Source organism: Homo sapiens, chromosome 5, assembly GCF_000001405.40.
Source record: "Homo sapiens chromosome 5, GRCh38.p14 Primary Assembly".
Classification (NCBI taxonomy): domain Eukaryota; kingdom Metazoa; phylum Chordata; class Mammalia; order Primates; family Hominidae; genus Homo; species Homo sapiens.
Genome location: NC_000005.10, coordinates 54439770 through 54460437, shown reverse-complemented (window position 1 = coordinate 54460437; position 20668 = coordinate 54439770). Strand labels below are relative to the sequence as shown.

The window sequence follows — 20668 nt, the reverse complement described above, 5'->3', positions numbered from 1 at the left end:
ATGGAGCGATTCCCTGTGCTGAGCCAACATCCCTGCCCACAGACATGCTGAGCCTCTTCACAGCTCCCTGTGGCGTGGTGGTCAGCACAGTGACACATCCCCTAATCACACCATCTTAGCTCCCCAGTTTTTCCTTGTCTCATTTCCCCTATTTCCTCATCTTTACTATCCTGGGCTTGACACTTTCCAAATAAAGTGTCAGCTCTTCCTCATCCCATCCTCATCCCAAGCTTTACTTTGTAGAAAGAGACTTTCTAACAGAGAACTCTGACAATAGGACTCATTTGATTGGAGTACTGGATATTATCCTCCTGCCCCTGAGGGTCATCCTCACTTTTCTCCATCCTGCCCTTTGCCCTGGGGGGCCGTTGAACTAGATGACAGGACTCCCATGCCCTCTGGCCTCCAGTCAGATCCAGCCAATGGGGGACCCTAGCAGGAGATGGGAAGGAGGAAGTATTTGTTCTCCTGGCTCCCTCCCTGTAAGAGGTCTCCTTGGACTGGTCATGCCCTCAGATGAAAGTCACAGCTGGTAGTCTCCTCTATGCGACTTTCCTTTTGATTTCTGAGACCTGCTTCCTCCTCCCATCCCTTTGGACCTGGGGGACGTAACAACTCCACACTGAACGTCAGATTACTCCGCTTTCCTTTGCAGTGCCTCTATGCCCTCCCCACTCCTTTGTAATGTTTCTCTCTCTCTTGTTTTTTATTTTTGTTTTGTTTTGTTTTTTGAGACAGTCGCACTCTGTTACCCAGGCTGGAGCGCAGTGGTGCCATCTTGGCTCACTGCAACCTCTGCCTCCAAGGTTCAAGCAATTCTCCTGCCTCAGCCTCCCTAGTAGCTGGGACTACAGGCACGTGCCACCATGCCCAGCTAATTTTTGTATTTTTAGTAGAGACTGGGATTCACCATGTTGGTCAAGCTGGTCTTGAACTCCTGACCTGAAGTGATCCACCCATCTTGGCCTCCCAAACTGATGGGATTACAGGCGTGAGCCGCAATGCCCAGCCTGTAATGTCTCTTTATAAATAAACCCTTCTTGAATTTTTCCAATTTGATAGGGTCCAACTGTTTCCTACTGGAACCAAGAATGAAAAGAAATGGTTAAATGCTAATACAATTAAGCTTTGTTGGAACAGTGAATAGCCATTACAAATCAGTTCTTGTTTGGTAGAAAAAGAAAGCGATGCACTAATTTTTAAAAAGTCACTGTTGCGATGAACACCTATCAACCCCAATAGGGAAAGCACCAGGTTAAAGAGGCCAAAGAAGAGACCCAGAGCCAGCAGATGAAATGCGGTGTTTTATTAGGGGGTTAATACAGAAGAGAGAGTCCAGTAGCGGCAGGCTGGCTGGGAGAACACAACTGCTTGCAAACATTATGCAGTTTCTACAGCACTTTCACTTAACACCCTCCATCGAAAGAACTCCACCTGGCAACCATCATTTAACTCAAAACTCAAGGCCTCAATCTCCTGTACGGCACATATTCCATGGAACAGGCTGGGTGGGGGCTCAGATGTATAGATAAAAAAACGAATCTCCAGGTTGGCCATGCACAGATTGCCTAACTTGAAACACACATTCAGGTACATCTACCGTACTGGGTCTTTCTAAAGGTATGCTTAAATGTTTGCTATCACATGCATTTACTCTGCAATTGATTAAAAGGTCAAACAATCAGAGTTCTGGCAGAAAACAATTCCATTGCCTAAAGGACCATTTATGAGAGAGTGGGCAAAGTAAGGAGAATCAATAAGGGATAGTGACACACAGGGTACAAGAAAGAGCAGAGAGTCACCCCTCCTCCTCCTTTTGAACAGACGAAAGGAAGAGACAGTGTTACAACCCTAAGCCCTGTGAGAGTGGCAGCCCTGGAGGAACTCAGTCATAGAAGGATGCAGCCCTGACAGGGCCTTGGTCTGCAGCAGGTTAAGGGCGACAGAAGAATTCCCTGACCATTCTCCCCTCTTGCCCACTAATCTCTCTGCAATCTCTGGTCTCCAGTCAGTGCCTCTTATTGGCTGAACCCAACCAGAAACTAGAATGATGTGGCCCATCAGGGTCAGCCTGCTTGGGCTCAGAGTGGGGCTGAGAAGGGCAGAGAATGGTTTGACTTGGTGGGAGTGGGGAGGGCAACAGACAGTAGCCAGTACAATCAGGATATCAAACTCCATACAGATATAATCCTAATTTTGTGAAAAGTGATACATGTATTTATGTAGTCCTGTTGTTGAACAAGATATTTAAAATAGCTGCCTCATGGTAGCAGAAGAACCATAGATGATTTTTATTATTTATAGTGTTTGGTATATTTCCCAAATCAAAAAAATGGCTATAAGACTTTAAAATTTATCTTTAAAACTTATCTATATCTTATCTATAAGACTTTAAAATTTATCTTGTAAAAACAAGAGCTCATTAGACATGTGTTTACTTTAATTTTATTTTTAAAGAGAATATTTTCTATCAGTGGCTCCTCATGGTAGGAATTTCACCTCCTGAATTTTCCCGGGAGGAGGATCTCATCTAGAGTAAGATCAAGGCCGAAAGAGAGGGTTTTTTTGTTTCTCACCACATTAGTTTCTTTTCACACTATTCTGCCAATCACTGGGAAAGAATGATAATCCAGACAAATGGTATCCCAGTTCTGATCATATTAGTAGATCTGGAATCTCAACGACTGCTATTAACTTTGTTATGCAGCCAAGCTGATCTGTGATATTCACTTGGTCAAACAAAATTTTTCATATCTGAGTTGGACACACAAACCTCCATGTATAGGCATAAACCTCAGATATGCATATAACTGCAAAATCTTTTCAATTTAATTAGACAGTAAACATTCTTCTCAGATTACATTTGTTTTCAAAATAACTTTTAGAACTGTTTGATTCGTTTTTCTATTGCTTCATGTCTTTTACATTTTAACTTGAGCTACAGTAAAACAACGTGGGGGAGTACTGGGATACTGTCAGCAATCTGCATTTGCCCTGGTGTTTTCCACACCCTGCATTCCATGTCTATTCTTAGCACTGTCCTTGGGCTGCTTGTCAGCTCACATTCAGTGCGGGGTAAAAGGCAGGCAGCCACTGCCTCTGAAGAAATACTTAATGTATACAGAATGAGATAGCAAACCTTTGGAATGTCCCAGAGCAGCTGTTGAAGGCACTAGTCCTTAACCTCTACCAATGTCTCCACCTTGAGCCAAGGCAGTAGTTTGGGAGAATATAATAAGCACCAATCATCAGATGTGCTGTGTAAACTCAGACACGCAGTGTAAGCTCAGGTGTTGAACTTCCATTGGCTGCCAGGCTATTTAAAGCTAAGGATTATGCAGAGATAGCAGATGTGTTACATTTTGCCATCTAAGTTTATGGAGCATCTAAAAAGCACAGATTAAAACTCACTGAATTCAGCAATCAAACTTTTAAAAGTGGTGTCCTTAAGCTTCATATTAATTTACAAGAGGATATGTAAATACATATCTCATGAACATTTTGTACGTGTCCATAGAACTTATACTATCTTTAAAAAGTCAAAACACTTCAGATAGGATTCAGTATATCTTTAAAAAGATGAATGAGGTACATATTTGAACTTTTTAAAAATAAGATTTATATCTGAAAATTCCCATTGACCTTTAAGGCAGTAACAACTATACTAAATCATAAATAGATATCAGACCCAATTTCCAAATACTGTATTTTAATTTTTGCACTCCATATTTATAAAACCTCATTTTAATTAAAATACATTAAAAAGAAAAGCTTATCGAGTGAAGGGAATCACAACTCTTTTTGGCAAAATAAAAGATTTTCATAAAATGGATAGGAATTCCTTAAATGGGTATAGCTCTTTTGCCATCAGTGATTACAAATGCAGCTGGCATTGTTGGAATAATAAGAAACAATTCGGAGTCCTCTCTAATATCCAAATACAGCCTTCTGTATTTTCAATGTTTCAGTTGTAAGAATAGTATCAGTTTGAGCCACACAAACATATTTACAAATTTTCCTTTCTGAGTAAGAATAATAAAGACAACCTCAACATACCAGGAACTGTGTATATATTTTTAATCTTCATAAAAATCATAGCAAATCATTTCAAATGTGGGTAATACAAACATTCTCGTAGTACCAGTGGCTGAACCATCATCTTCCCCATGTCATCTGAACAGGAACCGATACGATGTCACTTAGTCCCAACTGGATCCTTTACTTCCACCACCAAAATTCCATCATGACAGAGGACTGCAGACAAATCTTTGATTTCCACACCATCTGGTAGTTTGTACTGTCGGGTGAAGCTTCTTGAGATAAAACCGTGCTCATCCATTCTGGTTCCGTGTTGTGCTTTTATCAGCAGCCAGCCTTCGAAGGTCTGAATGATGATGTCTTCAGGGAGGAACTGGACCACGTCCAGCAGGATCTGAAAGTGGGATTTGCCTTCTCGGGGTGGCGTCTCTGCCGCTGAGTCCACTGGAGGAGACTGCGCTGCCCTGGTTTTCCTCAGGTCCACGATGGTTGGCCCAGGCAGTGCATATAAAGCATGATCCAGCCTGCAGTCTTCTAGACCTCGAGCTTCAAACTCTTCCTGGTAACGCACTGGAATCTCTATGAGGTGCCTCAAAATGATTTTTGCCATAGTGAAGGCAAAAACAGCCTTGAACAGCCTCCTTCTGCCAACCTTCCACTGCCTTCAGTCAGTGGCGAGCCCCTGCAGTTGCCTACTGACTGGATTACCAGTTGAAGCAGCTAGTGGTTTATAGCCGTGCCCAGACGCAATCACTTAATTAGGCCTGAATCATAGCACGGAATGCTCTCTTGTCTTTTCACACATGCTGACAATGAACGGCTATTTATAGGGCATGTTTCCCAGTGCATTTAGCACACAGCCTGCACAAGCTGCCCAGTCATGGATTGCCCTTACATTCTCAGTTATCCTTGGCAAATGTGTCTGCCTTGCTTACTTCAAGAAAGAGAGTGGGAATCGAAAATGGTATTTGAAAAATATCTGGGTGAGGCCAGGTGCGGTGGCTCATGCCTGTAATCCCAGCACTTCGGGAGGCTGAGGCGGGTGGATCGCCTGAGGTCAGGAGTTCAAGCCCAGCCTGAACAATGTGGTGAAACCCTGTCTGTACTAAAAACACAAAAATTAGCTGGGCATGGTGGCTTATGTCTGAAATCTTAGCTACTTGGGAGGTTGAGGTAGGAGAATCGCTTGAACCAGGAGGCAAAGGTTTCAGCGAGCCAAGACCATACCGTTGCACTCTAGCCTGGGCAATAGAGTGAGACTCCATCTCAACAAACAAACAAACAAACAAAAACCAAAAATATCTGGGTGGGTGCTTTCTCCCTGTGAACTTCAGTAATCTAAGGGAATAGGACTTCTTAGAACAGTCAGAGATGTTCACTCATAATATGAACTGGGATCACATTTTCCCTCGTCTCCAGATACAAAGCTGGGGAGGGCAGAATCTAGCTGTAATTCAGAAAGAATTAATACACACATATTCAAATCTCAGCCATTCAACAAACTGCCCTGTGTCCTATGCATTTCCTTTTATTTTATCTTTTAGTCTTTTGGGCTAAAAGACACATTATCTGGGTTTATTTACATCTGACTCATCAAAATTAGATCAGATGACTAAGCTAGAGAAGTGACAAACGTCAGATGGGGGCTGCAGGGGCATAGGATGGGGAATTTTAGTGATGAAAATAGAGCCACAAAGAAGAGAAAAATGTCAAAGCTTTGAATGATTTGATATGAACCTCCAAAAATCTAAGGATTAATCTTGTCACAGCTCTGCTACTGAGTTGGCAAAAATAAATTAAATATAATTTCCCCACTATATCACCCTTTATACTAAACTTACCCTGAAAAAGAATGAGGCAACTCCTTATCCACAGCTATGGAAGAATCTCCAAGATATGTTAAATCAAAAAGAAAAGTCCAGGGCAATATATGATATGCTAGTGTTTATACTTTTTTTTTTTTTGAGACAGAGTCTTGCTCTGTCACCCAAGCTGGAGTGGGTGACAGCCTCGAAGTCCTGGAATCAAGAAATCCCTCACTCTCAGCTTCCTGAGTAGCTGGGACTATAGAACCATGCCACCATGCCCAGTTAGTTTTTTTGATTGTTTTTTTAGAGATGGGGGTCTTGTTATGTTGCCCAGGCTGGTCTCTAACTCCTGGCCTGAAGAGATCCTTCCACCTCATCCTCCCAAAGTGCTGGAATTACAGACGTGAGCCACTGCACCAGGCCTTATTTATACTTTTTTAAAAAGTATGTATTTGCTTATATTAATAAAATCTCTCTGAAAGCTTTGTAGCTGAAGACAGTGGGTGCCTCCTGAGAGTGATTGGCAGGTGGGGGCTGGAAGGAGACCTAATTTTTTACTGTAAATACTTCTGTGCTATTTATTTACTTACTATTTTTATTATTATTTTTGCCACCATCTTCTTTGTGATAGTGTGTGCTTTTTATTTTATTTATTTATTTATTTTTTTGAGATGGAGTGTCGCTCTGTTGCCCAGGCTGGAGTGCAGTAGTGCCATCTTGGCTCACTGCAACCTCCACCTCCTAGGTTCAAGTGATTCTCCTGCCTCAGCCTCCTGAGTAGCTGGGACTATAGGCGTCTGCCATCACACCCAGATAATTTTTGTATCTTTAGTAGAGACAGGGTTTCACAATGTTGGCCAGGCTGGTCTCAAACTCCTGACCTCAGGTGATCTGCCCGCCTCAGCCTCCCAAAGCATTGGGATTATAGATATGAGCCACTGCGCCCAGCCAGTGTGCTTTTTATTTATAGAGTGTATATGGAATATACCTACACACAATAAATTTTAAAATATGGAAAATTTCTTCTCCATGGAGATTAATATTTTCTTAAATGGATAGACTTAAGAGTACCTTTCCTTTAAAAATATATGCACTTTCTTCAAATGAAAAAATGTCTATATAAATTAAAAATCAGAAAATGGAACAAAAGTCTTCTTTAGCTCGCTTTATAAGTCTAAAAAAACCTCTGTGGACATATTGGCATACACTTAGAAACATGTCCTAACAATGCTGTTCACACTCAGCTTTTTGACCTGCAGTTTACAGGCTGGTGGCCCTCCAGAGGAAAATGTACTCTTTTAGATATGTTAATGTTCTCCGGCTCATAAAATACTGCGGGATGTTGTCATCAGTACTGCTCTTAGTGGAAAGTCAAGAACAGAACTCACTGCCAGTGACAAGAAATAGATATGATCTTAAGGATTTGGCATTCAAACACTAGTAAGATTTACAGCAAAACTGAGGGAAAGCTACAGACATTTCCTACATGCCTCCTACCCCTACACATGTACAGCCTCCCCCATTATCAACACCACCCCCAAAGTGGTACTTTTTTTTTTTTTTGAGATGGAGTCTCGCTCTGTGGACCAGGCTGGAGTGCAGTGGCACCATCTCAGCTCACCGCAACCTCAACCTCCAAGGTTCAAGCGATTCTCCTGCCTCAGCCTCCCAAGTAGCTGGGATTATAGGCACCCGCCACCATGCCCAGCTAATTTTTGTAGTTTTAGTAGAGACGAGGTTTCACAATGTTGGCCAGGCTGGTCTTGAACTCCTGACCTCAGGTGATCTGCCCACCTTGGACTCCCAAAGTACTGGGATTACAGGCATGAGCCACCGCTCCCAGCCTCAAAGTGGTACATTTGTTACAACTGATAAACCTACACTGACACATCATTATCAGCCTGAGTCCATATTTCACCCTAGGGTTCAGTCTTGGTGTTGTACATTTTATGCATGGTGGTGACATGTATCCACCATTACAGTATCATGTAGAGTAGTTTTACTGCCCTAAAAACCCTCTGGGCTCCACTTATTCATCCCTCTGTCTCCCCAAACCCTTGCTCTAAAAAACTTCTCAAAAAAAAAAAAAATAAGTTTTTTAAAACAAATACTAGAAAGAGGCTGTTAGGGTGAGACAGAGAAAATGTGTCAAATAATCTTACAGTTTCTTGCACCAGGGATCTCTAAGACAGGCAAAGAAGGCTTAGGTGTGAGTGATAAGTTTCCATGTATGATCTGTGAATGAGCTGCTGAGATTAAAAATGAGCAATTCCAGCACTTTGGGAGGCCGAGGCGGGTCAGGAGTTCAAGACCAGCCTGACCAACATGGTGAAACCCCGTCTCTACTAAAAATACAAAAATTAGCAGGGCATGGTGGTGGACACCTGTAATCCCAGCTACTCAGGAGGCTGAGGCAGGAGAATCACTTGAACATGGGAGGCGGAGGTTGCAGTGAACCAACATCGTGCCACTGCTCTCCAGCCTGGGCAACAGAGCAAGACTCCATCTAAAAGAAAAGAAAAAAATAAAAATGAGCATCACATTTCTGATGCGATATTCAAGACTTCTACTTCTGCCATTTTCCCAAAATTTTCCCAAAACTGCCCTTTGACTCCAGCCCTAAGCGTGACTGCCCTCATCATGATCATCAGCTACGTTGACTTTTTGTCCTTTTGGAGAATCTGTCAGGCTTCCTTCTCCTGCCCTCCTGTCCATCCTTCGCCTTGTAACTAGAGCAGTTGTTCTAGAGCATCACATAGATGATGTCACTCCCTTGCTTCAAACTTGAAGTCAGAAGTTTCTCATCACAACCAGAATGAAATATAAAATTCTTACCATGGCCTTTGAGAACCTATAATCTGGCCCCTCTGCCCTGCTCCCCTCCACCTCACACTAGGGTTCAGTCTTCGTGTTGTACATTTTATGCATGCTGGTGACCACAGGTAAAATGGTGGTGCCCCTGCTTCAACCACACTGGCCTCCTGTCTGTCCCTTGAACACTCTAAGCTTGGTTCTTCCTCAGGCTTCTTGTACTTGGAGTCCCTTTTGTTCTGAAAACTTGACTTTCAAGTTGTCTTAAAGTTGCCTCTTTCTCATCATTCAGGCTCCAGGTCACGTGTTACTTCTTCAGCCAAGTCTTTTCCAACTATCTAGGGAAAGTACTCTTGTTATCCATCATAGAACCCAATTTTTTTTTTTTTTTTTTTTGAGACAGAGTCTCACTCTGTTGCCCAGGCTGGAGTGCAGTGGCGCAATCTCGGCTCACTGCAAGCTCCACCTCCTGGGTTCACACCATTCTCCTGCCTCAGCCTCCCGAATAGCTGGGATGACAGGCGCCCGCCACCATGCCCGGCTAATTTTTTGTATTTTTTGGTAGAGACGGGATTTCACTATGTTAGCCAGGATGGTCTCGATCTCCTGACCTCGTGATCTGCCCACCTCGGCCTCCCATAGTGCTGGGATTACAGGCGTGAGCCACTGTGCCCAGCCCATAGAACCCTATTTTACCTTTTTTTGTATTCTTTTACGCCATGATCAGGGCGGTGTGGTCACAAGAGGAGATACAGGAGAGAGTCTCGGGAAAACAAAGTATGTTATACTCACAGGTCCTAGAGACAACTGGCTATGGAGGGTGAGAGGAAGACATAAGCAGTCAGGAGGCAGAAGACAGGAGCAAGTGGAAGATTTAGCCACAGCCATTATTGGGGTTTCCACAGGGAAAGGCAGGGCAGGATGAACAGTTTAGAACTGGCTAGTTTGAATAATTTCAGCAGGCCCTAAGCTACAGGATGTCTCCAATTGCCCGGTACCTGGCCTTTGGTTGACTAAGGCAGAGGAATGTTGTGTCCTGGAGTGCAGGGGCCACATAGAGGAGAGATGGCTCTGGGTTGGGCAGTTTGCGTATCAAAGGCACACTCCCAGCTGAGCCCTTTGCTGTCTCTAAGGATTGGCCAGCCCTGGGAGGTGCAGTCTCTTTCCAGGTGGAAAGGTTTTTAACATATCAAAACATCATAATATACAGAAAATAATCCACATTCTTTTATTAAAGAGTGGGAACTATTTTTTTTTCTTATCCCTCTCAAGAGGACAAATAGAGTTTTATTTTATTGCATGCATTCTCACTGGGGGTGATAGTGCCCACAAGGAGGTAAAAATTGGTTCCTATGGAGCAAAAAAAAAAAAAAGATTCACATAATCTAAGATTATATAAAATCTGAGATATTATGTAATGGTTTGTGATCCTCCAAAGGGCCACAGTGCATAAATGGACATGTATCTGGGTTATTAGAATTCTAATGGGGAGATGGAGGAGAAATTAGGTGAACAGTATCTAAAGATATCTGGGAGAGGATAAATGATACAGTAATAAAACAGGTGAGAAATGCTGTGTAGTCTGCTTCATTAGTCACCCATCAAGACACCCATGGCTTATGCCAAATGCTGAAGAGCTTAGGTGGATAAGGATGACAGTATAGATGCAGCAATGCTGTCCTCGACCAAACCAAGGTCAGAGTCATCAGTAGGGTGAACGTTAAATTGCAGTGACTTGGAGATCATTGACCATTGAACACAGGCGGCAAATTCCAATAACAGCTTGGCTTGAAGTCCGAGAAGGTTTTCTAAAAAGAGCCATGACTCAGCTGGGATAAGAAGGCTGACAGAGTGGGCCACAGGAAGCTTTGAGCAGAGAAGGAGAGGGAGGACATCTGAGTGTTCCAGGTAACAGGATGGCATCTTCAAGGTCCTGGAGCCAAAAGAAAACATCATGCCAAGAGAAGATACAAGAATCTCAGCGTGGCCACGATACACTCTGCAAAGTAGGAAACGGGGAAAATGAGGCTGGAGAGGAAGAGACCAGCCATGAAAAGCCTTGTCATCTTTCTTGAGACAAAATAACATTTTTAAAGTTGCCTGAACTTTCACCAGTTATTTAAGCTGCGACAGCAGAAATCTTAAAGACGATTCTTCATCGCCTCATAATCAAAATTTCTATTGAGTTTTTTTTTTCCAAATTAAAGTTTGGATTCTATTTTGGAATAATAGAGTTAACTTCAGGAAAACCCAAATCAGTGCCTTTTTAAAAACTTTTCTGACCACCCACAATAAGAAATATATTTACTATCATGACCTAGTGGATATACATATACACATACTGGGTACAAAACACTTAGCTTTCCTACGTGAATACACTCTGATGGTCTCTATTCAGTTCTATGTAGCTTAAGAAAAGTGATCCTTGAAACTCTCTAAATTGATTTCATGACCCCAAAATTGGTTAAAATTGATAGTTTGGAAAGTTACTTAAGTTTTTACATTATTAAGCAGGTAGTTTATCATGTTTGTGGGGTGAATTACATCTCTGCAGGGTGACTGTGGTGGTCTTAACTGATTGTTCTTCTGTGGCTGTGGTGAGGCATTGAGCAGGTAGGGAAGGAAGGAGTGCAGTGGGAGCAGGCAGCATGGCTTATGTCAAATGTTGAAGAGGTTAAGGAAGGTACGAATGGAATCCTAGATTTAGCAGTGAGGGTGTCTTTGACTTAACTAAGAGGAGAGTCCATGGTAAGGTAGGGACAGAAGTTAAACTGCAGTTGGTCAGGGAGTGAATATTACATATAAACTACAATTATAAGCATGTAAGGGGATGAAAAAATTAACATAAATTCCAGGTTTGTTTTGTCTAATAAGATGCTTTTAATAAAATTGACCAGCCGGGCATGGTGGCTCATGCCTGTAATCCCAGCATTTTGGGAGGCTGAGGCGGGTGGATCCCTTGAGGTCAGGAGTTCGAGACCAGCCTGGCCAACATGGCGAAACCCCGTCTCTACTAAAAATACAAAAATTAGCTGGGCGTGGTGGTACACACCTGTAATCCCAGCTACTCAGGAGGCTGAGGCACGAGAATTGCTTGAACGTGGGAGGCAGAGGTTGCAGTGAGCCAAGATCATGCTACTGCACTCCAGCCTGGGTGACAGAGTGTGACTGTCTCAAAAAACAAAACAAAAACAAAAGAAAATTGACCATTAGCCTGACGGATAGGAGAGAACTGGTTAGCAAGAGACCCTGACAGGCTGTGCTTGTCTGAGTCTGAGACCTAGATGAACAATATCCCATTTGGAATATTTCTTTTAAACAAAGTAATTTCCTTATGTCATCCTCAAGTCATTGGTAAGGTTTTGTTCAGCCCTACAGCCTAATGTAAACTAGGCTTTGGGGAATTAAGGAAGGGACTGTACTATATATTATATACATTAGAGCAAAGGGCCTCGGCTACCCAGAGAAGCAGTAATGAGACAACAGGAGATGAAAATAGTTGTTTGGAAAAAGATAAAATTGGCAACCCAGTTAATATCTACACATACCCAAGGGCATCCAAAAAGTTTATGACAGGAGGTTTGATTGGACCCTGCTGCACTCTTGAAGGCTGAAGTCAACTCTGGAATGTTAGCCTGGAATGTTAAGGACTTTGTCCTTCCATAGGAGCCATAATAAACACAAATAGAAGGAGAGTTGAAGGATGGAGAATGTAATCTTCCTAAGATTTCCAATATTCCTTCTTTGATCACATCATCTTTCCCCTGATCAAATACTTGCAGTGGTTCTTGGTTTTCTCACATAACTGTTGTGATTATACAATCTGATCTTAGCTTTCTTTCCAAATCTGTATTTTTAGGATTTCCTCCATCCTATGCTCCAAACTCTTTGGTCTGGAATTCAAGGACCCCACCAAGACCGCTAAATAGGTGTTTGTAAGAAGCCATACCTTATAGGATTGTTCTGTATCATCCCAACCCTCCAACTAACTGGCGGTCGCTGTCTGAATATTCTTTCTCCTTCTCTGTCTTTTCTTCCTTACATGCTATTTCTTTCAGCAGGGCTGCTGTGGTAGGCTTGATAATGCCCCCCAAAAGATATCTACATCTTAATCCTTGGAATCTGTAAATCTTTAGAATCTGCTACCTTATATGGCAAAGACTTTACAGTCATGATTAATAAAGATCTTGAGATGAGGAGGTTATCCTGGATGATCTGGCTAGGCACCAAATGCCGTCACAAATGTCCCTATAAGAGAGAGGCAGAGAAACACAGAGGAGAAGGCAATGGGAAGAGAGAGCAGAGAGGATTGGAAGATGCAGGCCTTGAAGATGAAAGCAATGCAATTACAAGCCCAGGAATCCCAGCAGCCATTAGAAGCTAGAAGAGGCAAGAAACAGACTATCCTCCAGAGCCTCCAGAGAAAGCACAGCCCTGTCAGCTCCCTGCTTTTGGACTCTGGGCCTCCAGAACTGTGAAAAAGTCCATTTCTGTTGGTTAAGCCATCAGGTTTATGGTTATTTGTTACCAGAGCCACAGGATATGAATACAGATACCCTCACCCTCTGACACAGATATTAGCTAGGATGCTCAAAATGTGTTTTTACTTTAAGCCTTGACCCAAACATTCCTCCTCCCTGTAGAGTTCCCATATCGCTTCAGCTGAAAGCAGTTTTGCTGTACTTGCTGGGTATGAGGTCCACCTGGCACCTTAGGTATAAACTTGTGGATCTCTTTTACGCATTGTTAAGCGAGACACTAGGCTAGGAAACATGAGAGATAAGAGTTAGTGTTCAAGAACTAATACAGGAAAAAAGCTTTGGAAGATTCTACTCATTGAATTGGTATCTAATGTGCTCATGAAACTTCAGGGCCACAAACTCTGAAGGGACTATTTATAAGATTTTTCCTTCTGGGACTGTCATGATGGAGTCAGGTTCATTAGGCACTGCTCAGGGACTGGAATGTCAGCAACCAGAAGTTAGCAGGTGGAGCAAGCCCCACTGTGTTCACTTTGCCTCCCCTGAGTCCCGACTGCTGGGCTCACCAATGCACCCATACTCAGGCTCAGCTCTGTTCCTGCTACTGAGTTGATTGTAACCAAAGCAAACAAATCATCAACAGCCTCAGCTCAATCTCATCAGGACTGGAAATGAATCTAGCCTGCCAGACTCTGTGGCATAGCTTCAACAGCTGAGCATCTGCCTGCGCTCTCAAATCTCCAACCAGATTCCAGACCGGAGCCACTCGTACTCTTGGAGTTGGTGCAATTCATAAAGCTGAACATTTGGCCAAGATTTTCTCCTCTGTTTGCTTTCCCCCCAGCCAAATTCCACAGTCCCTCTAAAGGCCTGGATCCTGCCCTGAACTGAGACTTCACTGGTGGTTGGGGCAGTGGTATTTCCTCTAGAGTCCATTTGTTCTTTTTACGGAGATAGATCCTAGTTCTGTGCCTTCAATCTGCTAGCCATGTGTGTTAGTCAGGGTTCTCCAGAGAAACAGAACAAATAAACTGCAAATATAGAGATCTATAAAAGGAGATTTATTGTTGGAATAGGCTCAGGTGATTATGCAGGCCAAGGCATCCCATAATCTGCCATCTGCAAGCTGAAGAGCTAGGAAATTCAGTTCAAGTCCAAAGGCCTAAGACAGGGGAACTGATGCTATAACTTCCATTCCAAGGAGTCTGAAGGCCCAAGAACCAGGAGCTCTGATGTCTGAGGGCAGAAGATGGATGTCACAGCTCATAAAGAGAAAGAACAAATCCACCCTTCCTCCTCCTTTTTGTTCTATTCAGGCCCTCAAGGGATTGACTGATTGCCACCAACACTGGTGAGGTTGATCTTCTTTTTTTAGTCTATACAGTCAAAGACTCATCCCTCTGGAGACACCTCACACACATACCCAAAAAGAATGTCTGACCAGCTATCTAAGCATCCCTTAGCCCAGTCAAGTTAACACATACAAGTATCGCACAAGGCTCCTGCCAGACTGTCTGACTTTTGGACTTAGGGATTCTAGCCATCCATGCCTCCTGCTTCATGGAGTAATGGTCTGTAAACATCACTTGAGCAGCCATGCCCTTTGACTAAGTAGTGGAGACTGTAGTCTCAGCCAGTGAGAGCAACTGGGTAGCTTCCACAGTTACCTACCCTGCGTCAGCCTCCTTTTCCTGACATTGACTTCTGAGCACCAGTGCGCCTCCCTTGTAAACCTGCCAAGTCTCTATACCTAGGCCCATCTCATCTCCAACAGATCCACTTCTTCGTGGTGGTTAAGAACATGGAGTAAGGGGGTCTCCTTCGATGTGTTACTTCACCTGAGAATGTTTCAACTTCTCTAAAATGGGTATAACTACAGAACATACCATCCAGAGATGTTGGAAAGATTGAATTTGATTCTGGCCATAAAGTATGTTCTCTATGAGGCACTGTGCTAAGTGATCTATCGGGGGGAACCAGCCCCCGATATTCAACATGGGTCCTTTTCTATTTTCCCTAAGTGTCAGTCAGTCTGAGAAATAAAGGGAAAGAGTACAAAAGAGAGAAATTTTAAAGCTGGGTGTCTGGGGAAGACATCACATGTCAGCAGGTTCCGTGATGCCCCCCAAACTGCAAAACCAGCAAGTTTTTATTAGTGATTTTCAAAAGGGGAGGGAGTGTATGAATAGGGTGGGGTCACAGAGATCACACGCTTCACAAGGTAATAAAATATCACAAGGTAAATGGAGGTGGGGCAAGATCACAGGACGGGGCAAAATTAAAATTGCAAATGAAGTTTCGGGCATGCATTGTCATTGACAACATCTTATCAGGAGACAGGGTTTGAGAGCAGACAACCAGTCTGATCAAACTTTATTAGGCAGGAATTTCCTCATCCTAATAAGCCTGGGAGCGCTATGGGAGACTGGGGCTTATTTCATCCCTTATCTACAACCGTTAAGAAAAAAAAAAAAAAAAAAAACAGACGTTCCCAAAGTGGCCATTTCAGAGGCCTCCCCTTAGGGATGCATTCTCTTTCTCAGGGATGTTCCTTGCTGAGAAAAAGAATTCAGTGATATTTCTCCTATTTGCTTTTGAAAGAAGAGAAATATGGCTCTGTTCCGCCCGGCCCACAGGCAGCCAGACTTTAAGGTTATCTCCCTTGTCCCCTGAACATCACTGTTATCCTGTTCTTTTTTCAAGGTGCCCAGATTTCATATTGTTTAAACAATTTGTGCAGTTAACACAATCATCACAGGATCCTGAGGTGACATTCATCCTCAGCTTACAAAGATGATGGGATTAAGAGATTAAAGTAAAGACAGACACAGGAAATCACAAGAGTATTGATTGGGGAAATGATAAGTGTCCATGAAATCTTCACAATTTATGTTCAGAGATTGCAGTAAAGACAGGAGTAAAAAGTTATAAAAGTATTAATTTGGGGAACTCATAAATGTCCATGAAATCTTCACAATTTACGTTCTTCTGCCATGGCTTCAGCCGGTCCCTCCATTCGGGGTCCTTGACTTCCCGCAACAGTGATCAATATATATAATGTTTCTGTTGGTTTCTCCAAAACATAAGCAGTCTGGACACTCGAAAAGTAATTTGTTGTCTATCAAAAACTGCAATCCCACTTTGGGAGGCCGAGATGGGTGGATCGCTTGAGCCTAGGAGTTTGAGACCAGCCTGGGCAACATGGCGAAACCCCATCTCTACAAAAAAATAAACCAAAAAAAATAACTAGGTGTGGTGGCATGCATCTGCAGTCCCAGCTACCCGGGGGGCTGAGGTGAGAGGATCACTTGACCGACGAGTCAAAGGTTGCAGTGAGCCAAGATTGCACCACTGCACTCCAGCCTGGGTGACAGAGTGAGACCCTGTCTCAAAAACAAAACAAAAACTATAATCCTTTTTCTCAGCTAATCTTTAGAATTTTCATGAAAAAGCATATAAAGCTACTTTTCTGGGGAAATACAGGTTACTGAAACACAGACGGTACATAAATGGAATAAAATATAAAGTTTTAGACACAGAAAAATGTTTTTTACTCTGTCACTGAGTGTTTGGTGCAGGGTTTCCACCCCTCAAAATAGAACCAATACAAGCATCTGTCTTTGGTCCATTTTAACATTCCTTTATGAAGAGATGGTTTCTATGCTATCATAAGCTCCTTTAAGTTGCAGGCAAAAAAGAAAGGCATGACATGTTAGTTTCAGACTTAAAAGAAGCAGAGATGTTCTCAGGATCTGTACTGGGCTGTAAACCTAATTCCAGATGTAGTGTGATGTGGTGTCTGAAAGTGAAGCCAAGAGGGGCTTTCTGGTTTATGTGATAACTGCCCTCTGGTGGGAGAGGCTAGAATTTTACTGATGAAAGACTGGTTCTTTAATAATAACTGAGATTCTAAACAAATAATTCTTATTCTTCTTGTCTTTTGACTTTATTTTCCAAATAAAGATCCCCATATACTGAGTCCATTTCACTATTTGGTCTGACTAGCTTTTAAATTACTTGTATTATATGGGGTGGGAGGTGGCAGGCTTGGGGAAACAAAAATTTCTTTAATGCCTAGAATCTTATTCCCTATTTGGAAAATTTTTGAAGGGTAAACGTTGAACCCAGGCTTTCTGATTGGAAGCTACAAAGCACAAATTATGCTGGTTCTTTCTACATGCATATTCTGAAAGAGGCATCTTATTAGTATGATGAAAGAAACCTTTTTTAAGGGACATAAAGACCTAAATTTGAATCCTCACTCTGCCTTTCACCATCTGCTTGATCTAGGGCAAGTCACGATCTCCCTAAGCCTTCATTTCTTCTTCACCAGTAAAATAAGGAAAATATGTGTATCTCTTAGGTTGCTTTGAGTGTTAGAAAAGAGACGTAAAACAGTAGAGCCTGGCACATAGTAAATGTTCAATACATGTTAGATATTATTATTTATAGTATGTAACAGGATGCAAACTCTTTGGAGAAAAAGCTGACCCACTTCAATTCCATTATGGCTATTTTTAAAAGAATAGCATGTAGCATTGCCCACATTTCTTTAAATATTAGTCAAAGCCATGGCAAATATTAGATGTTACTGGATAACTACACAAGCCACAATTTCTACACAGATGAGGTTCAGACCAAGCTAGCACTTGGGAAGGAATGCACTAAGACTTCCCTATCACACTAGAATTACCTTTATCAGCTGTGATCAAATGATATTTATTCTTTTTCTGCAATTTACTTTTAAGCCCTTTGGTGATATTAACATTACTTTTTAGTTGCTGAGCTACTAAGCTTGAGAAACTCAAGTCTGCTTTTTAACCTGAGGGAAATTCCAAGGAAATACTTGCTATGGCTTGCTCAGAAGTGGTTCTTGGGGCTTTAGGAGTTATTTTTCCACAACATAGTTTAACTGAGAGATCAGATAAGGACGTCAAGATAAAGAAAATGTAGAATTGGAGATACTAGGGCAGAGAGTAGAGGGAAGAACTGGCAATCAAAGGCAAAGGTAGGAGACAGGAGTCCTAATGAGTCTCCTAACACCGGGTAGATGACCAAAACCTCCATGAACCCCACTTCTCAGCTGGAAAATAGGGCAAGGGACTGAACTACATTTACAAAGTCCCTTCCAGGTTAAAAAAAAATGAAGAAAAAAGAAAAAATCCACTTGAGTATCATGTTAATTACACATAGCCTGCCAAAGTGTTCTCAAAAACATTATCATTTTATTCTGTGTGCACCCACTCCCCAGCCCCAGCAACTCCCTTTCCATTCATTTCATACCACCAGCCAGGGTTGCCTTTTCTCCAGCACTAAAGACTGGCAGAGGGGCAGGTGATTCAGAAGCACTTTGTTTTTTCTTTGAGACAGGGTCTCACTCTGTTACCCAGGGTGGAGCGCAGTGGCACAATCACAACTCACTGCAGCCTTGACCTCCTGGGGTCAGGTGATCCTCCTGCCTCAACCTTCCAAGTAGCTGGGACCACAGGTGTGTACCACCATGCCCGGCTAATTTTCTTTTTTATTATTTATAGAGACCAGGTCTCACTATGTTGCCCAGACTGGTCTCAAACTCCTGGGCTCAAGTAATCCTCCCTCCTTGTCCTCCCAAAGTGCTGGGATTATATAAATGAGCCACTATGCCTGGCCCATAAGCACATTTTTATCTGAGGACCCTGCCATCAGATATGAGGAGTTAATTAATTGGAGGGAAGGCATTTGTCCTTGGGATGTTATAAGGGAGATTCTTGTCATTTCCCCACACTCTTGAAAAACCCATCTTGTATGCCCCCTTGACTGAAAGCCTGATCCAATAGCACTATGGCCCTGGCATGCGGCCCCAACCCCTGTCCAGTGAGTGGACCCAGGGCGGACCCTTGACCGGAGATTTGGAATTGAGATTCTGAGACTTTAGGCCCTTATTGGGGCATGAATTAGGTGTGCATTAGGCCCTTTAACTGAGGTCTGCATGGAGTTCAGGCGGCTATTTCCTGCCATAGGAAGGCCAAAGCAGGGCAGACCACACCAGCCTTCATGTTGGCCTCACTGTCCTGGCTCTGTAGCGAGCAGCAGAAACAGGGCATCCCACAGCTTCGGGGAGAATAGTTGCCTTAGAACTAGGAATTGCCCAGAAACCAAAAAATTGCCAAGAGCCAATTCCCAAGCCATTATCTGCCCCTGTGCTCTGGGAAGTAACACTTATATCACTGGGATACAGTTCTGTTTATTTCTAAAGCTGGACTGAATAGGTTTCTGTTAGCCTTTAAAGAGCAAATACATACTGGCAGAAGAGCATGAAGAAATTTATTCTCGTGCTCAAACCCCAAAAAGCTCATGACTTGAAGTAATAACCCTCAAATAAAGACATTTCAGACACCAAGATGAGCTATTGGAAACATATTTTAGGGCTGAAGGGTCTTCTTGGGGTCCTTTAAGTCCACAGGCAGCTTCCTGTGCTATCTTCCTGGTTTCGGTGGGAATTCTAGAGGAACATGCTTGGGCAGGCTCTTTATGTCCTTTGCAAAGCAAACAGGAACTAAGATCTAAGATCTCATACATGAAAAGAAGTGAAACTCAAGGTGGTATTTTTATAGCCTAGACTTTGAAAAAGCTGTCTTTGGAGGCCCTTCTGGAGGAAGAATGAAGGCTCATGCAGCTGATGCAATCTGCTCCATGCTCACAGCCCATCTGCTATTCGGGGTTTTTGTTTTTTGATTTTTGCTTTCTTTGTCATTCCACTGTTTGAGATACGATCTCGCTCTGTTGCCCAGGGTGGAGTACAGAAGCACAGTCACTCCGTGCTACAGTAGCACAGAGGCTCACTGCAACCTCAAACTCCTGCGCTCAAGTGATCCTCATTCCTCAGCCTCCCAAAGAGCTAGGATTCACCACACCCGGCCCCATCTGCTGTTCAAGTCTCAATGACAGGTGGCCTTGCGTGATGATCAAGAACATAAGATACGGTCACCTGGGTTCAAATCCTGACTCCACTCTCAACCTGGACAAGTTACTGAATGCCCACCTCGCTGTGTTCTTTTAAGATCAAAAGAGACCATGTATGGAGTATCCAGTGGGTTCCAGACACTATTCTGCATAGTTTTACATGAAAATGAAAGCTAGCATGTATGCACGTAGAGTACCTTAGCTTATTGATCACAAGAGGAGTTAGAGAGACCACTAAGAAACTGGGGCTTGTGGGGTGTGGACACATGCACAACCCATGCGTGGTCCTACGATTCTAGTACCCAGGACCAGCAATGAAGGGAGTTAATTAAAATTCATTTTAGAAACTCACAACCTGCAACAATTTCTCAGTAACAATCAAATTAAAAACCCTAATGATGTGTTTACCACTACAGATGCTCCTCGACTTAGGGGTTATGTTCTGATAAACCCAGCATAACTTAGATATATCATAAGCCAAAAATGCGCTTAGTATATCTAACCTACCAAACATCATAGCTTAGCCTAGCCTAGCTTAAATGTGTTCAGAACACTTACATTAGCCTGCAGGTAAGCTAAATCAGCTAA

At 42.8% G+C, this 20668-nt stretch overlaps 1 protein-coding gene across 1 annotated transcript, besides 2 other annotated features; it reads right to left on the bottom strand.

Moving 5' to 3' along the window:
- Positions 4061-4739, bottom strand: HSPB3 (heat shock protein family B (small) member 3). Its single transcript, NM_006308.3, has one exon. It carries the CDS (start codon positions 4646-4648, stop codon positions 4196-4198), a length of 453 nt encoding a protein of 150 aa, NP_006299.1. The 5' UTR covers positions 4649-4739; the 3' UTR covers positions 4061-4195.
- Positions 19618-19677: an enhancer, noted in NCBI's record as "active region_22550". NCBI's record gives its function as "activates an Ori minimal core promoter by ATAC-STARR-seq in GM12878 lymphoblastoid cells {active_cell/tissue: GM12878}" and the evidence as "EXISTENCE:reporter gene assay evidence [ECO:0000049][PMID:35858748]".
- Positions 19954-20455: an enhancer, noted in NCBI's record as "H3K4me1 hESC enhancer chr5:53735813-53736314 (GRCh37/hg19 assembly coordinates)". NCBI's record gives its function as "activates a minimal SCP1, AML or CMV promoter by ChIP-STARR-seq in naive H9 embryonic stem cells {active_cell/tissue: H9 hESC(naive)}" and the evidence as "EXISTENCE:reporter gene assay evidence [ECO:0000049][PMID:30033119]".